The 20,687-nt window shown below is 38.4% G+C and overlaps 1 long non-coding RNA gene across 1 annotated transcript in view; it reads left to right on the forward strand.

Moving 5' to 3' along the window:
* The window catches only part of LOC105372932 (uncharacterized), a 166,214-nt gene that overhangs the window by 59,299 nt on the left and 86,228 nt on the right, over window positions 1–20,687 (forward strand). The window contains exon 3 of the long non-coding RNA XR_922621.2: window positions 16,460–16,627. This is a non-coding gene — a long non-coding RNA (uncharacterized LOC105372932). The remainder of the gene's footprint in view (window positions 1–16,459; window positions 16,628–20,687) is intronic.

The following is a 20,687-nucleotide window of genomic DNA, read 5'->3' on the forward strand; positions in this document are numbered from 1 at the left end:
ATAACAGATGCAGAAGTTTCATTATTTACTAATGGATCATGTATGACAGAAAATATCATGCTGAGTATGCTATTGCCACCGTTTTGGAAGTAGTTGAAGCAGCTCCACTACCAAAGACTACTTTGGTTCAACAGCAGAATTTTATGACTTAACCAGGTCTTGTATTCTGGTGAAAGGTAAAATTGCAGATATTTACACCAATAGCTTTTATGCCTTTAGGTTGTTGATGATTTTAGTATGCTTTGGAAATAAATAGGATTTTAACCTCCAGGGAAAATCAAATTGAAAAAGAAACTTTTGTCAATAATTTATTCAATTCAATTTAACTTCTCTCTGCCTTTACCATAATCAAAATTTCTGGGCACTCAAAATTGGAATCTGATAAGGCTAAGAAAACAACTTGACTGATCACACAGCAGAAGTAGCTGTCTTGAACTTTTTCTCATGTACTTATTGTCCACATGTATGTCTTCTTTTGAAAAATGTTTATATTCTTTGCCCACTTTTTAATGGGGTTGTTTGTTTGTTTCTTATATATTTGTTGAAGTTCCAAATAGGAAGAGAGGAAGTCAAACTATCCCTATTTGCAGATGATACAATTCTATATTTAGAAAACCTCATAGTCTTGGCCCCAAAGCTCCTTAAGCTGATAAACAACTTCTGCAAAGTTTCAGGATATAAAACTGGTGTACAAACATTAGTAGCTTTCCTGTAAACTAATAGCAGCAAAACCAAGAGCCAAACTGAGAACACAATTCCATTAACAATTGCCACAAAAAGAAGAAAATACCTAGGGATGCAGCTAACCAGGGAGGTGAAATATCTCTACAAAGAGGATTACAAAGCACTGCTCAAGGAAATCAGAGATGACACAAACAAATGGAAAAACATTTCATGCTCATGTATAGGAAGACTCAATATCATCAAAACAGCAACACTGCCCAAAGCAATTTACAGATTCAATGCTATTCTTATCAAACTAACAATGACATTCTTCACAGAACTAAAAAAAAAAAAAAAAAAACTATTTTAAAATTCATATTATGAAACCCAAAAAGAACCCGAATAGCCAAGGCAATCCTAAGCAAAAAGAATGAAGCTGGAGGCATCATGCTACCCAACTGCAAACTATACTACAGGGCTACAATAACTAAAATGACATGGTACTAGTACAAAAACAGACACATAGACCAATCTGATCTTCAACCTTCTGATCTACAACCATCTGATCTTCGAAAAAGTTGACAAAAACAAGCAATGTGGAAAGGACTTTCTATTTAATAAATGATGCTGGGATAACTGGTTAGCCATATGCAAAAGATTGAAACTGGATTCCTTCCTTACACCATATACAAAAATAAACTTAAGATGAATTTAAGAATTAAATGTAAAACCTGAAATCACAAATCCCTGGAAGACAACCTAAGACATACCATTCTGAACATAGAAACTGGCAAAGATTTTATGATGAGTGTCAACGAAGAGAGTCAAACTCTGTAAAATATTCGAAGGAATTTATTCTGAGCCAAATATAAGTGACCATGGCCCGTGACACAGCCCTCACTCAGGAGGTCCTGAGAATGTGTGCCCAAGGGTGATCAGGGTACAGCTTGGTTTTATATATTTTAGGAAAGCATGAGACATCAAATATATTTAAGATATACATTGGTTTGGCTCAGAAAGGCAGGACAACTCAAAGTAGGGGGTGAAGGGGAGTGGGGTGGGGGGCTTCCAGGCTAAAGGTAAATTTAAACATTTTCTGGTTGACGGCTGAGTTTGTCTAAAGATCTGTGATTGATAGAAAGGAAGTGTTCAGGTTAAGATAAAAATTGTGGAGACCAAGGTTCTTTTGAAGTCTTAAAGTGGCTGCTCTTAGAGACAACAGATGACAAATGTTTCCTATTCAGATCTTTAAAAGGTGCCAGACTTTTAATTAATCTCTTCAGGATTGGGAGGGCCTGGAAGAAAAAGATCTAGCTATGTTAATAGAGATTCTTTACAGATGGAGATTTTCCCCCACAAAGGATGGCTTTGCAGGGCCATTTCAAGATATGGCAGAGAAACATGTTTCAGGGTAAAATATTTTTATTTTCTTTCTTGTCACATAATGCTATGCCAGAGTCAGATTGGAAAGTAAGTAACGATATGTAGAGTTAAATAAAACCCATCTGATGAGAATTTATGTTTTGTAGGGCATGACTCCCCAGACCCCTTAGATAGGAATTTGGGCAAGATAAAAAAATCAGAGCTTAGTCCTCATGAAGATGCCAAAAACAATTGCAACAGAAGCAAAAATTGACAAATGGGATCTAATCAAACTTAGCAAATAACAATCAACAGAGTAAACAGACAACCTACAGAGTGGGAGAAAATATTTGTAAACTATGCATCTGACAAAGGTCTAGTATCTAGCATTTAGCTTTCTCTGCATTTGATATTTAATTGATTAAAGGAGACATTCTCCAGTATTGTAAAGGAATAAATTCAGGCTGTAGGCAAAATCATACCTCAGTAGAACAATCTTTCCATACTGCTCTCCCAGGAGATGAAGACATCATCAAACATCACAGTCTTCAGCCACATGATGTCTATTGAAAGAGGCATTTATAAAAGAATTTCTATCTTGATGAAAAGGCTTATATCACGTATTCTTTATCAACCCCTGTGCTGCCAAACTGAAAGGTGTTGACTCTTCATGTTTCTTATTTAAGGAAAGCTCCTATTCTTTTCTGGAATTTAGAATCACTCGAAGACTAAAAGCTAAAACTGACCCTGAAGTGAAGCAAATGATAGCCGAAGTTGACTTCTCACACAAGACCTCTGGACTAGGCCAGTATACGATTAGGATCCCTGACATACTTGGTCTCTTACATGTTGCTTTTGCTATAGTCTTGTTTTACACCTTCTACTCCCTTGCACAACAGAGTTTTCTTGAATTATATCTTAGCTGAGCAAGGAGGTGTTTACATTGTAGTCAATACCTCCTGTTACACTTGGATAAATACTTTTCAAAATTAGAGACCAGGTTGTAAAAATCCACACATTTGCTAATTATCTAAATAGAGTGCTTATTGTTAAAATGCTGGCTTTTTTATCTCTTCAGCTGACCACCCTCTCAAAATGTTGCTAAAATCCAGTCTTCAACTTTTATTACTCACTATTAGGATTATTATTGCTATTGTAATATTTAAGATATGTCTGTAACTCCTTACCCAAGTTTACTTAGAAATAAAAGTTTTACCAAAGTTACAGTTGCTTAGAAGCTCAGCATGGTCAGTCAAGCCCATGATTTAGAAAAGACATCCAATCTGACAAACTTTTCAGGACCTAAGCAGGCTTTAGAAATCCCCTTGCAAAACTTCTGTGTTACCAAATACGGCTCAGTCTAGCCTTACAATCTGTTAGACCTTAAGATCCCGTAGTGAGGGACGTGAATCCCTGGGACAGATCCATCCCAGTGATGAGGGACAAAATTAGACTTGCTAATTAATCTGCTTTCTGGAGAAAGATCTTTGTCAATAGAGGGAAATGTAAAAGAAAATGAAATAACTAAGGTCAAGGCTTTCTAAAGTGGAATCAGGAGATTGTGAAAGGATTGCACTCACACCTGCTAAACATCAAACCACAGAATTTCCAACAGACTTGGTAAACAGCTGAGGTCAGTATTCCCAGGCCTTCAATATCTCTCAGCTGGAAATATGCTAATTCATTAACCCATCAGAATAGGTTTGTGATTTAGTATTTCTGACCATCAGATGAACTGCCTCCAAGACCAATTTTTATGTGTGTGGAAATTCTCTATTAAAAAATGCTCCAGTGCTTGCCTATGGGACATTACTTAGGGCTGCCCTGATTCAGTGCACCCAGATAGCAGTTCTTTGTTTGCGAAATAAATGCTATTTCTTTTGACCTTTTGTCAATCATTTTTTAGTTAACATAGCTCTATCTTCCTTTCTTTCTCCCTCTCTTCCTCTCTTTCATCAGTTTTGCCAGAAATTTGTCAATTTTATTGGTCTTTTTGAAAAGCAAGTTTTTGTTTCATTGATTTCCCCTATTTTTCTATTTTAAATCTAAAATTAATTTCTGTTTTTATTCTTTTTGCTTGCTTTTGATTTATTTTGGTGGCCTCTTTTTTCAATTTTTTGAGAATGGCACTTAAGTTATTATTTTGGGATTTTATCTTAAATTTGGAGATTTTCCTGCTATCTTTCTCTTACTAACATTTAGTTTTATTCCATTATGTTCTGAGAAAACATTTCAAATGGTTTCAATTCTTTAAAAATATTTGTGGTTCATGTTACGGCCCAGGATATGGCTTATCTTTGTGAATATACAATACTCACTTGAAAAAAAAAGATGTATTCTGCTGTTGTTAGGGTTCATATATGTGAATTCGATCCTCTTGCTTGATTGTACTGTTAAAATCTTTTATATCCTTATTGATTTTTTCTCCAGTAGTTCTATCAGTTGCTGAGAGGTGAATTTTGAAGTCCCCAATTATAAGTATGGATTGGTCTCTTTCTTCTTTCAGCTTTGTCAGAATCTGCTTTATGTATTTTGACACTCCATTGTTTGATGCATACATACTTGGATAGTTTTTTCTTCCTGAAGAATTGATTCTTTTATTATTACATAATGTTCCTCTGTGTTTCTAGTAATCTTTTCTCTGAAGTAAACTTTATCATATTTTGATATTAATGAGGCAATTCCTGCTTTTATATGATTAATATCTGTTTAGTTATAAAAATTTTTTTACATTCAATCTATATTGTTAAATTTAAAGTCAGTTTCTTGTAAACAGCATATAATTGGGTCCTTTATTTCAATTCACGTAGCCAATTTCTGCCTTTTAATTGACCTATTTAGACTATCTACATTTAAGGTAGTTATTGATATGTTTGATTTTAGTCTGTCACTTTATTATTTGTTTTCTCTTTGTTTCCACTATTTCTTGCCCTTCTGTTTATCTTTTCTTGCCTTCTCATGGACTACTTGAATATTTTCCAGGATTCCATATTAATTTCTTTAGTATTTTTATGTGTTTCTTTTTCTATAGTTTTCTTAGTGCTATATTTATTATAATATACATATGCAACTTGTCACAGTCGACTGATACCAGCTTTTTTTTTTTACTTCAAATAAAATTTGGAACCTACTTTCATTTATGTTCCTTTATATTATCACTTTAAAATGTGATTGCCTTGAATATCAGGTGGTATTACATTTTTTGTTTCAGTCAAGTATGCTTTATAGAATTTCATGGTATGTACTCATATTTCTGCTCTTTTCATTGTTTTTCAATCATGACTCACCAAGATTCCTACTTTCTGTTAGAAGAAAAACTTTCTTTAGCCATTATTTAAAGGTAGGTCAGCTAGTGACAAACTCCTTTAGTTTTCCATCTCCTGAAAATGTCTTTATTGCCCCTTCAGTCCTACAAGATAGTTTCTCTAAACATAGAATTTGTGGTTGACAGTTCTTTTCTTTCATCACTTGGAAAAGGTTCCACTTTTTTTGGCTTCTGTGGTTTCAGAGAAGAAATTTGTTGTCGTTGAATTATTTTCTCCCTCTAGGTAATACACTGTTTCTTTCCAAATGATCTCAATACTTTCCTCTTGGCATTTACTTTCCAGAACTTTAATTATTATATCTCTGGTTGTGAATTTCTTCGGGTTTATCCTATTTTGAATTTGTTCAGATTCTTAAATTTATGTCTTTCACCAAATTTGGCAAGTTTTCAGATATTATTTCTTCAAATACTCTTTCTGCCCATTCTCTTTCTCTTCACCTTCTGGGATATCCACTGTTGGAACTTTATTATTGTACAGGTCCCTGAAGATCTATTCACCTTTTTTCCAGTCTTTTTTCTCTCTATTGTTCAAACTGGGTAAATTAAATTGATCTATATTCAAGTTCTCCAATTCTATCCTCTGTCATCTCAACTCTACTATTGAATACATCTGGCAAATATTAAAATTTCTATGATTCTGTATTTTAGTTCTATAATCTTCATGTGGTTTTGGATTTTTCAACTTTTTTTAATATGATTTTTTTGATTCCTCATTTTTTTGAAGCATTTTTATAATGGTTGTTTTAAAGTCCTTGTCAGATAATTTTAACATTTCTATCATCTTGGTGTTGGCATCATTTGATTGTGTTTTGACACTCAGGTTGTGATATTTCTGGTTCTTATTTTAGCATGTGATTTTCCATTGTATCTTGAACATTTTGGCTATAATGTTAGGAAATTCTGGATCTTATTTAAATCTTTTATTTTAGCAGGCTGTTTCCTTGTTCAGGTTCAGCAGAACCTGGCCTTTTATCATGAGCTGTGGTTCCAATGACAAATTTCTTTTTAGAACTTTTGGTATGCTACTTTGTTCTGCTTGGTGTATATGGTGCAGGTGAGACTCCTATTGGTCCTTGCTCAGGAGGTGCAAGGATCCTAGGCTGCCTGAATCTAGGTGGGGAAGGGAGTATCAGTCCCACTGGGAGAAATAGGCTTCCCAGTCTAGGCCATTCGTTCTGCTGAAAACTTCTCTTCATAGTGCTGCCTGGCTACCTGGTGTCTCTAAGTAAGAGAGGCAAGTTGTAAGCCTAGGGAGATAGGGAGACCAAGGAGCTTTTTGGCCTGTCCACATGTTGTAGCTGAATCCCCCTTGCAGGTCCTCCCTGGCTGTCTAGTATCTCGTAGTGGTGAGGATATTTTCAGGCCCAGCAGTGAAATAGAGTTTTTTTTATGCAGAGTGCATGTCGTGGCTGGATCCACCTTGACAGTTGCTTAACCACGTGGTGTCTTTAGGTGGAGGAGGATAGGGGCCCCTCAGTCTTATGGGGACGAAGAAGCTACCTGGGCAAGGCCACTTGTGGCAGAATTTCCCTTGCTGTTGACCTTCCTCCTTTCCTTCTACTTCTACCTACTGCTTGGTGTTTCTGAGTAGAGGAGGAGAATGCTTCTTGAGGCCACTTATTGTCAGTAAGGCTCCTGATCCATCCCCCTGACAGTGCTGCCAGGCTTGCCCTATATTGTTGGCAGGATTCTCATTCAGTATGGAAAATGAATAAGTCTACCTGAGCCACCTTCTGTTGCTAGGTTGGGGATGAGGAAGCATGGAATCTGGGTAACCTTCTGCTAAGTGGGTTTGTTGGAGGTACTGCCACTGTGTATTCCTCCAGAACTGGGATCCCTAAGCAGTTTGAATTCCTATTTCTACTTTTTAGGGTTCTTTTTTGGTCACCTCTTAAATTATTTCCAAGGTTGATAATTATACTTAGTGGAGAGGAGACAAGCCTATACCATCTTGTCTGGACAATAAGTCACTAATTAATAGTGTAGACACAATTCCTAGAAATAAATGTATTATTTGTTAAATTATCTTTAGGAGATGTGGGGTTGTCTGGAACATACAAATATACTAAATTACTTGTAGGGAATTGCTCATAACAAATGAGCTGAGATGCTGCTTGTTGTGAAACATACCACTTTACACAAATATGCTTCTAATCATGCATTGATATGTAACTAGAACAGAATTGACATATAGTAGGTGCTCAAGAAATACATGTTGAATGAATAAAATAATGGGTAAAAATTAAGGACTCTCATCCCCAATTTTATTTGATAATTCAGATGGTTTAAGTAAAGTTTAGATGGTTTGAAATAAATATCACATACATTTTTGCTAGATTTGCCTAGTTATTTCTTTTTCTGATTCTGAACACAGGAAAATCCTTTGTAAATCTGTAGTTAACACATCAAGAAGAAAATCTAAATGTGCCATAACATTGTACTAAACACCGGAGAGTTCTTGAAGAATGAATAATAAGGGTAGCTCCTGAGATCCCGAGACTTCATGCAGAAGAGATTGAGGAGCATCTGTGGTTTGGTGGATTGGTCCAGCTCAGGTCCAACCTTAGCCAAATAGTAATATTAATTAGCAGTAACTTCAGGATGACCTGAATCAGGGACTTCAGGTGGTGGTATGATCTGACCAACGGAGGACAGAGTTCAGACTGATGGCCCCTTCCCGGGAGAGTGCCCTTTGTTTTGTGAAAACACCAGGCTGCATGCAGATGCCTCTACAAGGAAGATAAGAATGTACCAAATGTACCATCTCACACCAAGCTTACATGCTTCTCCCAGTTGACCCAAATAACCCCCCTTTACTTCTGAGCTCTGAGGTTATCCCTGAGAAGTTGCTGCTATAACTCCTCATTGTTCCTCCTCTGTAATGTACTATTTTCCCTTTTCATCTCTTGAGGTGCATTTCCTTTATCAGGCTAGCAAAGCAGTCACAGCCCTTTTCTGAGTGGGCACCACTGTTGATCATCTCTTGAATCTCTTGTTCCGGGAGACAGCTGGGTCACCCAGAGCATTCATGGCCCCTTCCCAGGGACCTGATTTTCGTCCTTGACAGCAGACCCGAGCCAGAGGCTTAGTCTTTCTGCATTCCACTGCTGATGAGCTCCAGCATGAGAAATTAGTGGGGAATGGCACAGGCCTCTGTCTACAGACTTCAAACACTAACAGCAGATGAGGCCTGGTGTTGGTTAAGGGCCATTTGCAATTGCAACTCTTTGTCTCAGCTGTACTTTTTTATGTTTCACATTACCCATTCTGCTCCGCCTCCCTCTCACATTCCCTGGAGATGGATTGTGCAGGCAGACACTGTCTGCAGTACCTCAGTGGGAGATGGAGGCCTGCCTTCACATTGCACATGTGGTGTATTTTTTTTTTCAATGTGAGGAGGCTACAAGTGACCCCTCATCAGTTGGACATTATGCTATTTTTCTGCCATGGCAATAGGCAGGGCTCAGCCCTTAGCACTTTCTGTCTTGGCCCTCTTCTAACCAATAGTGTATTTAGTGAGCCTACAGTATCTACCTGAAGAATAGAGGAATTCGTTGTGCAAAGGCTGGGGTTTCATGCAGGAATCTCAACTGTTGAAATGGGAAAAATTCCCTAATCCCCCTTGCAGGGCGTGCCATGGGAGTGTGGCTTGCTTCTTTGGTGCCCCACAGCTCAAACCCCTAGGGGGATCATGCAGACGGGCAGACCAATTGTGGGGAATGTGGGCTCCGTCCTCAAGGCAGCATCTAGGGTTGAGTGTCTACAGCTCCCAAAGCCCCAGTGGACATGTGTTACTGTGTGCTCTTTCAGTTCAGCTGTCTGCAGGTGGCTTGTGTTAATCAGCTCAATTAGACCCTCTGCCTTATCGCAAAGGCAGAGGGCTTTCTCCATCCCAGTTTCTTGCCTTGGTGTACCAGAAAAATCAGATCACATGTGGGCTTGGAGGATAGGTGCAAGGTTTTATTGAGTGGAGGTAGCCCTCAGCCAGGTGAAAGGGAGGCCAGAAGGGGGACAGAGTAGGCAGTTGGTCTTCCCCTGGAGTCAGGCCGCCTAACATCCAGACTCTCCTCCAACTGCCCCTGACTGAATTTCATGTCGCCCCGTTGCTTACGGCCTGCCGGCATCTGCTGGTGTCTGTCAGTGTGCTCATCTGCTCCACTGTTCCTCTCAACATCCAGCTGCTTGTGTATGTGCCCACTAGGGTCTCAGGGTTTTTATAGGCACAGGATTGGGGGCATGGCGGGCCAGAGTGGTCTTGGAAAATGCAACATTTGGGCGTGAAAACAGGAGTGCCTGTCCTGTCCTCCCCTAGGTCTGTGGGCACAGGCCCGAGGGTGGAGCCCTCACCAGGGACCCTGCCCCTCTCTACCCAGCACTTCCCTGCCCTCCTCCCATATCAGTGAGCAGAGCCACACCAGAAACATATCTTTCGATGGACAACCACATTTCAGAGATGGAATGCTAAGTTCTGGATTAATTATTCCTTCATAGCCAGGGGAAAATGGACAGCTGCCTGCAGATCCTCCCAAGGTGGCTGGACTGAGTCTGTGGGCCAAGCTGCATGGCGACTGGGCTCAGTTGGTCAGAGGTCGTCTGAAGTTGTCAAAAGGATTTTCCCTTTTGACATATGCTGCTCCTTTCCTTACCTTACCATTTCCTAGAATTTTAGCTTGAAAAGTTCTTATGGAACTGCAAGGACATTTTGGGAATAAATTCTTAAGAAAGATACTCTCAGGTTGTGAGAAATGTGTTGGAGGAAGGGAAAAGTTAGCTACAGCATAAATATGGTTCATTTTACTGAAAAAAAGTCAATGTTACTCAAAGTTTTTTTTTTTCCATTTTGAAATAATGTTTTGAAACATGAGGATATATTATGGAGTCACATGGAGAACTTACCTGCATTTCAGTGATAAAACAGGATACTTCAACAGCTTTTAGACTTGACTTTAGGTTGAGTTGAGCTACATCCCCTGGGATGCTAGCCATTGTACCCCATCATAGGGTGCAGAAGCAGAGCACCAACGAAACACCTGGCCTGTGCCTCTTGAGGAATGACCAGCTCAGAGATGGGGACCTCTGTGGGGCTGATGGAGACTGGAGGTAGGAAAGAGGACCCACAAGAGAGGGGATATTGCTGTAATAAAGCACTAAGAAAAACATGAGAATGAGCTCATTAAAAGCTTATCACTTAGAGGTTGCATGTCTAGAAACCTGGCATAGGAGTTCACTAATGAATGGCTCTGTGTGCATTATTTCACAATGAAAATGATCAAGACTCAATCATGAAATGAATCTTTCACTAAATCTGCCTTTTCAGAGAGATTCTGGGTATAAAAGATGAGTCGGCATTATTATAGAATTCCATATAGGATGTGTAATATGTGTTTCATGATACCCTATATTATCTTCTTTAACCTCCAAGATAAGTAGGGACATAAAGCCACTTTAGAGATGAAGAAACTGAGGTTAAAGGGGTTAAGAAACTTGCTCAAGGTGACCTGGCTGGATATAGCAGAGCAGATACCATGATTCCAGTTTCCTTGTGTTTTTTTATCCTGCTTTTCTTCACTATTCTGCATAGCCTCAAACTAAAAAGTGCATGGCAATATGCTTCCATGGCATGCAACTTAGAACATCTTTCGCTTATTAAAGATATAAATATGAATTTGTATGAAGAATGCAGTGAAGAATTTAGAGATGCTAATAATTGTTTACTTGGCATTTTGCAATATATACGTGGAACTTAACAAGCTTTGAAACCTAGGTTTGCATCTAGGTCTAGGGTCTAGGTAAGACCTAAAAGTTTTTGCAACATTCTGCTTTCTCACAGAAATGCAGCTAGGATTTCCATTTGACACCATAATGTATTCTGACGTTTTAACATAAAATTTTCAAGACAAAAAAAAATCTTCAGGTCCTATTGACTTTTTTCAGTAAAATTTGTCCTTGAGGGCTTTTGTGTGTGAAATAAGCAGCCATTTACACTTGGGTAGAGGAGAGGGAGAAGAGCACGGTGGCCTCTTACCCTTGGAAACTATTGGAAGGAACCGCTCAAAGACATCCTATGTGCTGCTTTCAATGACTACATTGGGAGGGTGCTTTGCGTGGTCTAGAGTAGTAGGCCCTCCCACTTCCTTCTGTGCCAACAGCCATGGCTGGGATGCCCATCTCTACAGAGCTCAGATCTTGGCACCAATCTGTGGTCTGGCTACCAACCTACCACCTGCCCAAGTGACAAATGTAGCCTGAAGAGTAGAAATTGAGGACCTCAAAGCAAAGTATCAACAGAAGGTGGATCAGAACTCAACTCTGCTGATTTCTAGCCCAGTCTTGCCTTCACTTGGTTTTATGGTCCTCAGAGATTTAAAGCAAAGTGACCTAAACCCAAGAAATGTTCTTCCCTCCAAAGCAATGTCTGAGGATTAGCCTCTAAATTAAGAAATGTTCCTTCATTTGAAATAATCATTACAGCGGAAGGAGTCCTTGATTTGAACATGGATATGACACTCATTAAAAATTTCATTCTTTCTCCCTCTTTTTAAAATCTGGGTAAATCTGTTTCTCTTTACATTTCTAAATCAGAGGTTGTATGATAGATTTTTCATAAGGCTCCTCTTAGCCAATGAAACTTTCTCTGGCTCATTGTTATTGTAAAATTTTTTTTCCACTTAACATGCACTTATTTGAAAAACAAATCTTGAAATTTTGGCCATTAGGCTTACTGCCTATAAATTTGTCTGCTTGCAGAGACCCTCTCAGGGGTACCCTGCAGGTGCCAAAGTCCTAGCAGCTGTGGCAGTTACACACTGATGAATTTAGGGAATGGAATGGACTTCAGATCCAAGATGACCAATGAGATACACTTTACAACTCAAGCTGAAGCTTATGCTAGAAATTAAAAGGCCTTTATAGATGGCTTTTGTTTTCCCCCTGAGTCTTCTAAATCAGGAAGACAGCTTGCAGCAGCCTGCATATTGGTTATTTCTTGCATGGCATGGCTCCTGAAAAACCAGAGAGCCAACACATTTGCCCTAGTTAGGTATAGAACGAAGAGGAGAGAGTGTTGCTAAGAGGCTGCAGTGGAGGTCAGACCCCTGCAGAAGAAGGTAGATGGCTTTTCCAAGTAGATTTTGGCACCTGTACATGTTGCCTGCATTTCTAAACACTCTTGGTGACATATTTTGCTAAGGTGGCAGCTCTAACAGACATAATAGTGTATGACGTAGCACGAGTCTGGCTATTGTTCAAAGCAGACCAAATAAAAATATAAGCAAACAACTCCCCTGTGGTGTAGACAATTTATAAGTCAGTAAGGAAAAATGTGATAATAAAATTGAAGATGTGGTCCTATTGCTAGTGGGACCCTGATTTGTAGTAATTATGGAGATTTCCTTGACTTTATCAGCATGCTGTTAGCACATGTACACTCTTACACAGTAACAGGGCCTCTCAGTGTTCAGGCGCTCCTCCATGTCCTAATCACAACTATAATTAAAAGTGACGTAAAAAGCAACTGAAAGCATTTTATTTTGAGGGGGAGAAGCAAATAGTTTGTCTTCTTTATTTTAAATATTTTAATCCTTTAAAATAACCTTATTGAAAAAAATAAACTTACTGAGAAATAACCTCATTAATTCATCATATGACCTGAAAAACAAAACCCGTCTTTAAGGTTCTCATATTATCCTTCCAAAATTCTTTACAGCACTTTATAAGCCACCATCCATCAGTGCAGAACATGTGGCGCTGGTGTTAGCAGAGCGTGCAATGCCTTTGGAACATTCTCTGTACAGCAGCCTTGCCTGTAAGGGTCAGTAAGGAGGACAGCTCTTGAAGACTCTATGCGAGGTCTTTGAAGAGTTGCATGTTTACTAGCAGCAGTAAAACAGAGAAAAGGGGAAATGTTAAGGAAGCTCTAGATGGCTGAACTCCCAGGAACAAGAAAGTCTGGATCTTGAGCATAAATTTCCTCAGAAAAGGACTTTGAAGTTTGTTTCAATCTGTGAAATTCTAGTAACGGTCTAAATTTGCTCCTTAACATCTGGTGTAGATAATTACAGCAAATGGTTTGGATATGTCCATTTGTTCATTAATCCATTCATTTACTGGAGATGGTTTTATTGAAAGCCTCCTATTATAAGAAAATGGCCTTTAGCACTTCATGGAATAGAAAAGTGAGTAAGGTGGTCATTGCCCTCAAAGACCTTTTTCTGTCTTAGGGAGGGGGGAATCCATAAGTACATAATGGTAATGTATAGTACCCTGAGATAAACATCAAACGCTGTATCTGACTCATAGATAAAATGAGGGGGGATGGTATATCATTGGGACTGATTTAATGAAAGGAATCATGAAAGGGTTTTCATTACAGCTGATGAATATGTCTGGGTACTGTAGCTGAACAGGTCAGGAAGTGTGGGAAGATATTCCAGGCAAAAAGTCAACCCAGATAAAAGTATATGAGTGGCTAAATGCAAGGCAGGTTTGGGAACAGTGAAAAGTTCAATTAGATTAAGTCATGCAGTAGGTGTCGTAGTGAGTGATAAAATTACATAGGTAATTTAGTGCTAATATTATAGAAGACATTGTTGAAAGTGCTCAGGGTGATTTAATTCCCCAGCCAAGTATTGGGAGGAACATTTTTAAGACTGCAAGAACAGGTAGAAAATAGTGCACTCCTATATTAAAAATAACTCCTTATTTCAGGGACAACTTCTAGTCTGTTACTTTGTGTAGCTGGATCTCAACTTGTTAATTCATCCAATCGGGTTTCCCAGCTCTACTACCCTTCTCCAGAACTTTCTTTATACGGAATGACTGACACTCTAACTCTCTCAACTGAAGGAACCATGTCCCTTCTTTCTTCCACTTCATCTATTCATGATTCTCCACTGACCATTGTAAATCATGATCTAGTCATGTGTAGCCTCTAATGACATTCCACTGTTCAGTCCCCCCATCTGCATACAAAGTAATGAGTGCTCAAAAGAAGGACTCGTCCAGGACTACGGAGCTAGTAACTGTTACAGCCAAGAAACTCTCAGATTACAAAGTCATGGTTAGCCTTTGAATTGCCCAGGAAATTGATATTCCTGGTTGTCCCATCATCTGTATTATCTGATTCATTGTTTCTTTCTTTTACTTATTCATTTATTAATTTAGTAAAGTTTTACTGAACACTTAATATGTTCTAGCCCTGAGTTAAATGCTGAGGATATAACAGTGAACTAGATTAATTTAGTTTCTACTCTCATGGGTATTAACAGACCATTTGGAAAGACAGGCATATAATTTTATTTATAATTATATGAATAAAAGAGTACTCACTTTCAGGCCCCAGCTGCCAAAACTCCAGTGAACCCTCTGGGCCAAGGATTTCAGGCCAGCCCGCTCTGATTTTCTTCTTCCCCTACCAGTCACTCTCTACTGGAATTCCCTCACTGAAATTTGTCCAGTTTCTGATTCCTTCCCATAGAACTGGATGCTCTGGGCCTCCCTAGATGTATTAATTAAGTCATATAACATAAAAATACTGATAATAAGACAATGGAAGAAGCAGTAAGCATGCTTATCTGAATATTTCAGGCTGACAAAAATGGAAATGTGAAGATGACAAGTTCAGAATTCAGCTAAGTTTTGATGATTTCAAGAAGGCAGAATCAAATTCCACCCATGGTGCTTTTGCAGAACTGATTTAGAAACAGGTCAACTAAGTTTAAAACTTAGGGCAACATAAAGAGACTCTACCACGTCCAGAGTGAGCCTCCTGAAGATGGGCTGGGGATCTTAGGATTACTAACCTATGGGAAGAAAGTCTAAAGTTAAATGATGATTTATTTTTGAAAAAAAATGTAAATCCTGACCTTCATACAATCATAAAGTGAACATGTGTCAAAGATTTTATTTAACTTATGATTGAGGGAAATAGTAAGGTGTTCAAAAACTTGTTTAAAGGAGACTCCCAGGAGCAGACACATACATAGGCAATCAGTGATACTGAAATTAATTTGTGTAATAGATGCAAAATTGGCTTATTACACAGGCCCAAGGCTACATCAGTTGTACCTCCATTGGGCAAAATTCACTTGCATTTCTATGAATTAGAATAATTTGCATAAATATCAGTTTTCTAAAACTTACAGAGTTGAAAGTAGCTCAAAGACAATGAAAAGTGCAGACCTTTACAGAATGAGGTGACCTGCAAGGGTACAAAAGCAACACTTAGTTTTCTATTGAAAAGGCATTCAGTAATCTTTTTGGTTTATTTAAATGGCTTTCACAATTTTTGTTTCTAAAAACAAAACTCTCTTCTCCAAGGAGAGGAGAATAGCTCAATGGCTCAGTTACATTTGGCAATGGTTCCTTCTCTGTGTTGGGTGACTCACATAGAATCTAATGAGAAAACATGAGCCTTACCTCTTGGAAAAGACAGGTATGCAAGTTGATGCATACAAACAAGTACAAGTGTAGTGTAACCTGGATACACTGGAGTTGGGCAGAATCGGAGGATGAGTAGGGTTGCTTGTTTGAGTGATAACTCCAACCATGAGAAGCCAGGAATCCAGCTCTTCTTAACATGGAATTAACAAATGACTTTTATAAATAGAAAAGCATACTTGAAACATTATCATTTTAGAGAATGGAAGTGATAAATAAGAACTAGAAGATAGCAGATGTGGACCAGGGAAAGAAGAACAAATGAAATAAAATAGGAAGCAATGTAGCCTTAAGTACTACATTGTGCATTGTGGTAGAACTGAGATTGGGGAGAGATAATTGTGTGCTACAATATTGAGAGCAATTTGTCCACATGTGGTGAGTGGGAATGGAGTCAAGGGGACTGCATTTGCAAAGAGGAATAATTGACTGGGCACATGTGACAAACAGATTTCTGAGTCTGACACATAATAAGCTAAATATGTAACGTATTATTATATAATTACATTAATATTATACAACAGAACCAGCAAAAGGCTGTCCTGGTTAATAAATAAAGGAATTATATGTAGGGAATAATAAACACCTACATCTCTATAGCATTTTGTACTTTTACACAAATTTTCTCATTAATAACCTCTAGATATATGTATTGTTATTTCCGATTTACAGTGGAAGGACTGAAGCTCAAGAAGCTAATGAGTGGCAGAAGCTTCACTTAACCAGGTTCCTTGGATTTTCATCAAACTACAGCAGTTTCTTCTGTACCATGAACCAGTTATTCTATTACACTACCGTGGCCAGATCCTGGATAGAATTCTTTGTGGAACCAGAGGTCAGGTAACATCTACCCAGGAGCTTAAAACATGAAAACAAAACCCACCAACAAAGTCTAAAAGATCTTCAATTATGTCCTTTAGAGGCCAGAAAGCTGAGGGGAACAGAGTGGGTATCACTGTGGCTGAAACACTGAATACAAAGTAATAACCAGCAGAATCCTCTGATGGAAAAATGCAAAATGAGAAAATAATAACAAACTTTTTGGGAAGATTGACTATGTGCCAGCCACTGACCAGCTACATTGGCTTTCTTATTTTTTCTTCAGAGCAAGCCTATGAGATGGGTACTATCATTATCTTCATGTTTTTGATGTAGAAACTGAGACACAGATGTCAGCTAAGTCCCCAAGGTCCACGTCCTGTAAATGGTAGAGCTGAGACTGGGACCCAGGTCTGTTCAGTTTAAAATCCTCCACTATTCACCACTCTACCTTATACATGCACATGCTGCTGTAAAAGTGACTATGGTTTAGTTAGGGCTTTTCAGATTTGAAAAGTGTATCTGAGGGAATTTGACAAAATTATTTTCTGGGAGATTAATGAATAATTAGATGATATTAGAGATATGAATTTGCATGAAGTATACAACTGAAATTCAAGTTTGAAACAAAGACATAATGCACACTCTTAAACTAATGTTTAGAATGTTTTGAAATTGCAAATGTCATTGCCATTGGAGGTCAAGGTGACAGCTGGAGAAGGAATGGTATGACTTAGTGGACAGTCTGTATCATACAAGTATTTAAAATAAAGCTAGTCTTATTCTAGTTTAGTAACCATTAGGTGAGGAGATACAAATATTGATACTAATTAGTAAAATAAAATAATGAAATCATCATTATTCCTATAAACTTATGCTGCATGAAACCTACAAAATCCTATGGAAAGAATTCTTGATTTCTTAAGCAATCCATTTTCAAAGCACTACTGCCTTTCAGTGGGATTCCAATTAAATACAAAGGATATCCTAAAGATTTGCCAAGTACTATCTTTAAACGTTACATTGGTCTTCAATTATTATGCATTCTGAGCCAATGGCATCTGCGTTAGGAGATATTGCCATGTTCCCACAAATTGTCTCAGATGAAAATCTAATACAATTAAACAGAAAAAGTCCAGAAATCCCACGATGTCAAATTTCCCGAGCTGTCAGGGATTGCTTCTATTTTCTTTGACTTCTTTTGTTTGATCCTTGTCCCAGTTCGATCTCTGGGCTTATTCAAACCTCTCTTTTCTCCCCACTTCTCCATCAACACTGACTTTCAGTTTATTGCCATTTTGGGGTCTGGGGTTCCCAGATGTGCTCTACCAAAATACCAGACCTCCAGCTAGCATCGCGGGTGAGTGTTCTAAAGAACGCTTCCCCTCTCTGTGGCACATTGTTAAACAAAATACAGCATAGTCATGGGAAAAATTTGCATTTAGATTACTTTATTGAAGCCCAGTGTCAATACCAAGGATAATGAAAATGTAATTGATCAAGAGGACTCACTGAAGTAACTAAAGAGGCTACCCTACACAGAATTCCTATTTCTACCTTCAGTGTCACAGAGGGTGCGTTTTTTTCCTGGCAGTTTTTGAATACTTCTTTTGTCCTTACCTCCACTCATCAAGGTTTTACAAATATTCAGGTTTAACCTCATAGCACCTGGCCATGAAATGGGGACATAAGAAAAATCTTTTTAAATAATTACATGACCTATTTTCATATTTTCACTGGACTGAAAGTTAAAACAGTCTGCCCAATTCAACCCAAGGAATGTGGCCACCCTAGCGACAAACAGCCTGCAGTCCTCAATCAAAAACCTCCTTTCTGGCCTCGATCTAGGGAAAGAGTTATCATCCCATGGTGGAGCTTTGCTAGGGTGATTATGCCCCAGCTAGTACTAGTTGGGAACTCCCTATCTTACATGAAGTTGGTTATTTCTGGAGACAGGAGGATGGGTCAGAGAACCTTGCATTCATCTTCTCCTGCCAGTGTGGTGTGTGATTCTCTGCTTCTCTTCAAGGTCTTACTGGTTCTTGCTTTTTCTCCAGCACTCTCTGATTCCCCTGGTGAAAGATTAAGGCATTTTGCCTTCTAAATTTTCTGAAAGCACGTCATGGCTCAAAGCAGTGGTAACTATTTTATTTCATTTTCTAAATCATTTATGAGGACAGTGGATGGTTTTAATTTGACTCATCCAAACCTTATTATTTCCCAGTAGATGATTTTTTTTTTCCATTGCCTTGTTTGGCAAAATCCCTGATTCGCCCTTGGCTAATTCAAAGAACAAGCAAAAGAGATGTTTTCAGGTGTCCTTAATCTCAGACTTGATAATACATTATGTAGTTATTAAATAAACTTGTCTTGTGGCCAAGGGCAAAATAAATAAAGATGTTTGCTTCGGTGAAGATAGCTCTTTATTTCTAGCCTTTTCTATATCTTGCCTGGATCTGTGGAGCATTAGCACATTAAAGAGAATCTTCAGCAGTGACTAAAGGCCTTCATTCCCAAGACCATTTCTCATCCTACTGCTTAATCACTTCTCCTCAAAGTCCAGGCTCAGAGGAGACACATATTTAGGGAAGAATTTGTGGATGGAAAACAGCTGAATACAACCTGGTAGAGTGAGTCAAATCATCCTAAGGTAAAACAACAAACTATTTGGGGGAAAACAAATAAGTACAGGGACTTACTTTTTATTGATTGTATTCTTCATTAGTTGCATATTTTTGCTTTCTATTTGGCTTCATTTAGGATCTACATATTTCTACAAATTTCAGGGGTCCATGTCCTTTTGTGTAGACTCCTTGTATTGACTGACCCTACCATTCACCAAGTCTCCCTGTTGAGATTTAGCCAACATCCTTCTGCTTACCTCCAGGATCTCTAAATGAAACTCTATGATAGGTGCTGGAAGACTGAGCCTATAGAAAATTACAAACCAGGGGAAACTTTCTTCAGAGCTTTGCAGTCCCCTGTCTAAATGTCCAGTGCTAGTAATGACACAGTCTTGCTGACAATGTCATATAGTCTTCTGGGATTTGTATAATTTCCCTGGAAAGCATTTTAACAATATGCATCAATAAGCTTACTACATTGATACGTTTTTGTTTGTTTGTTTTTCTTGTTTTTTTTTTTTCTGGAGAGTAATTTTTTTTTTACTATAATTTAAGTTTTAGGGTACATGTGCACAACGTGCAGGTTTGTTACATATGTATACATGTACCATGTTGGTGTGCTGCACCCATTAACTTGTCATTTACATTAGGTATATCTCCTAATGCTATCCCTCCCCCCTCCCCCTACCCTACAACAGGCCCCAGTGTGTGATGTTCCCCTTCCTGTGTCCATGTGTTCTCATTGTTGAATTCCCACCTATGAGTGAGAATATGTGGTGTTTGGTTTTTTGTCCTTACGATAGTTTGCTGAGAATGATGGTTTCCAGCTTCATCCATGTCCCTACAAAGACATGAACTCATCATTTTTTATGGCTGCATAGTATTCCATGGTGTGTATGTGCCACATTTTCTTAATCCAGTCTATCATTGATGGACATTTGGGTTGGTTCCAAGTCTTTGCTATTGTGAATAGTGCTGCAGTAAACATACGTGTGCATGTGTCTTTATAGCAGCATGATTTATAATCCTTTGGGTATATACCCAGTAATAGGATGGCTGGGTCAAATGGCATTTCTAGTTCTAGATCCCTGAGGAATTGCCACACTGACTTCCACAATGGTTGAACTAGTTTACAGTCCCACCAACAGTGTAAAAGTGTTCCTATTTCTCCACATCCTCTCCAGCACCTGTTGTTTCCTGACTTTTTAATGATCACCATTCTAACTGGTGTGAGATGGTATCTCATTGTGGTTTTGATTTGCATTTCTCTGATGGCCAGTGATGATGAGCAGTTTTTCATGTGTCTGTTGGCTGCATAAATATCTTCTTTTGAGAAGTGTCTGTTCATATCCTTCACCCACTTTTTGATGGGGTTGTTTGTTTTTTTCTTGTAAATTTGTTTGAGTTGTTTGTAGATTCTGGATATTAGCCCTTTGTCAGATGAGTAGACTGCAAAA

This window comes from Homo sapiens, chromosome 1, assembly GCF_000001405.40.
Source record: "Homo sapiens chromosome 1, GRCh38.p14 Primary Assembly".
Lineage (NCBI taxonomy): Eukaryota > Metazoa > Chordata > Mammalia > Primates > Hominidae > Homo > Homo sapiens.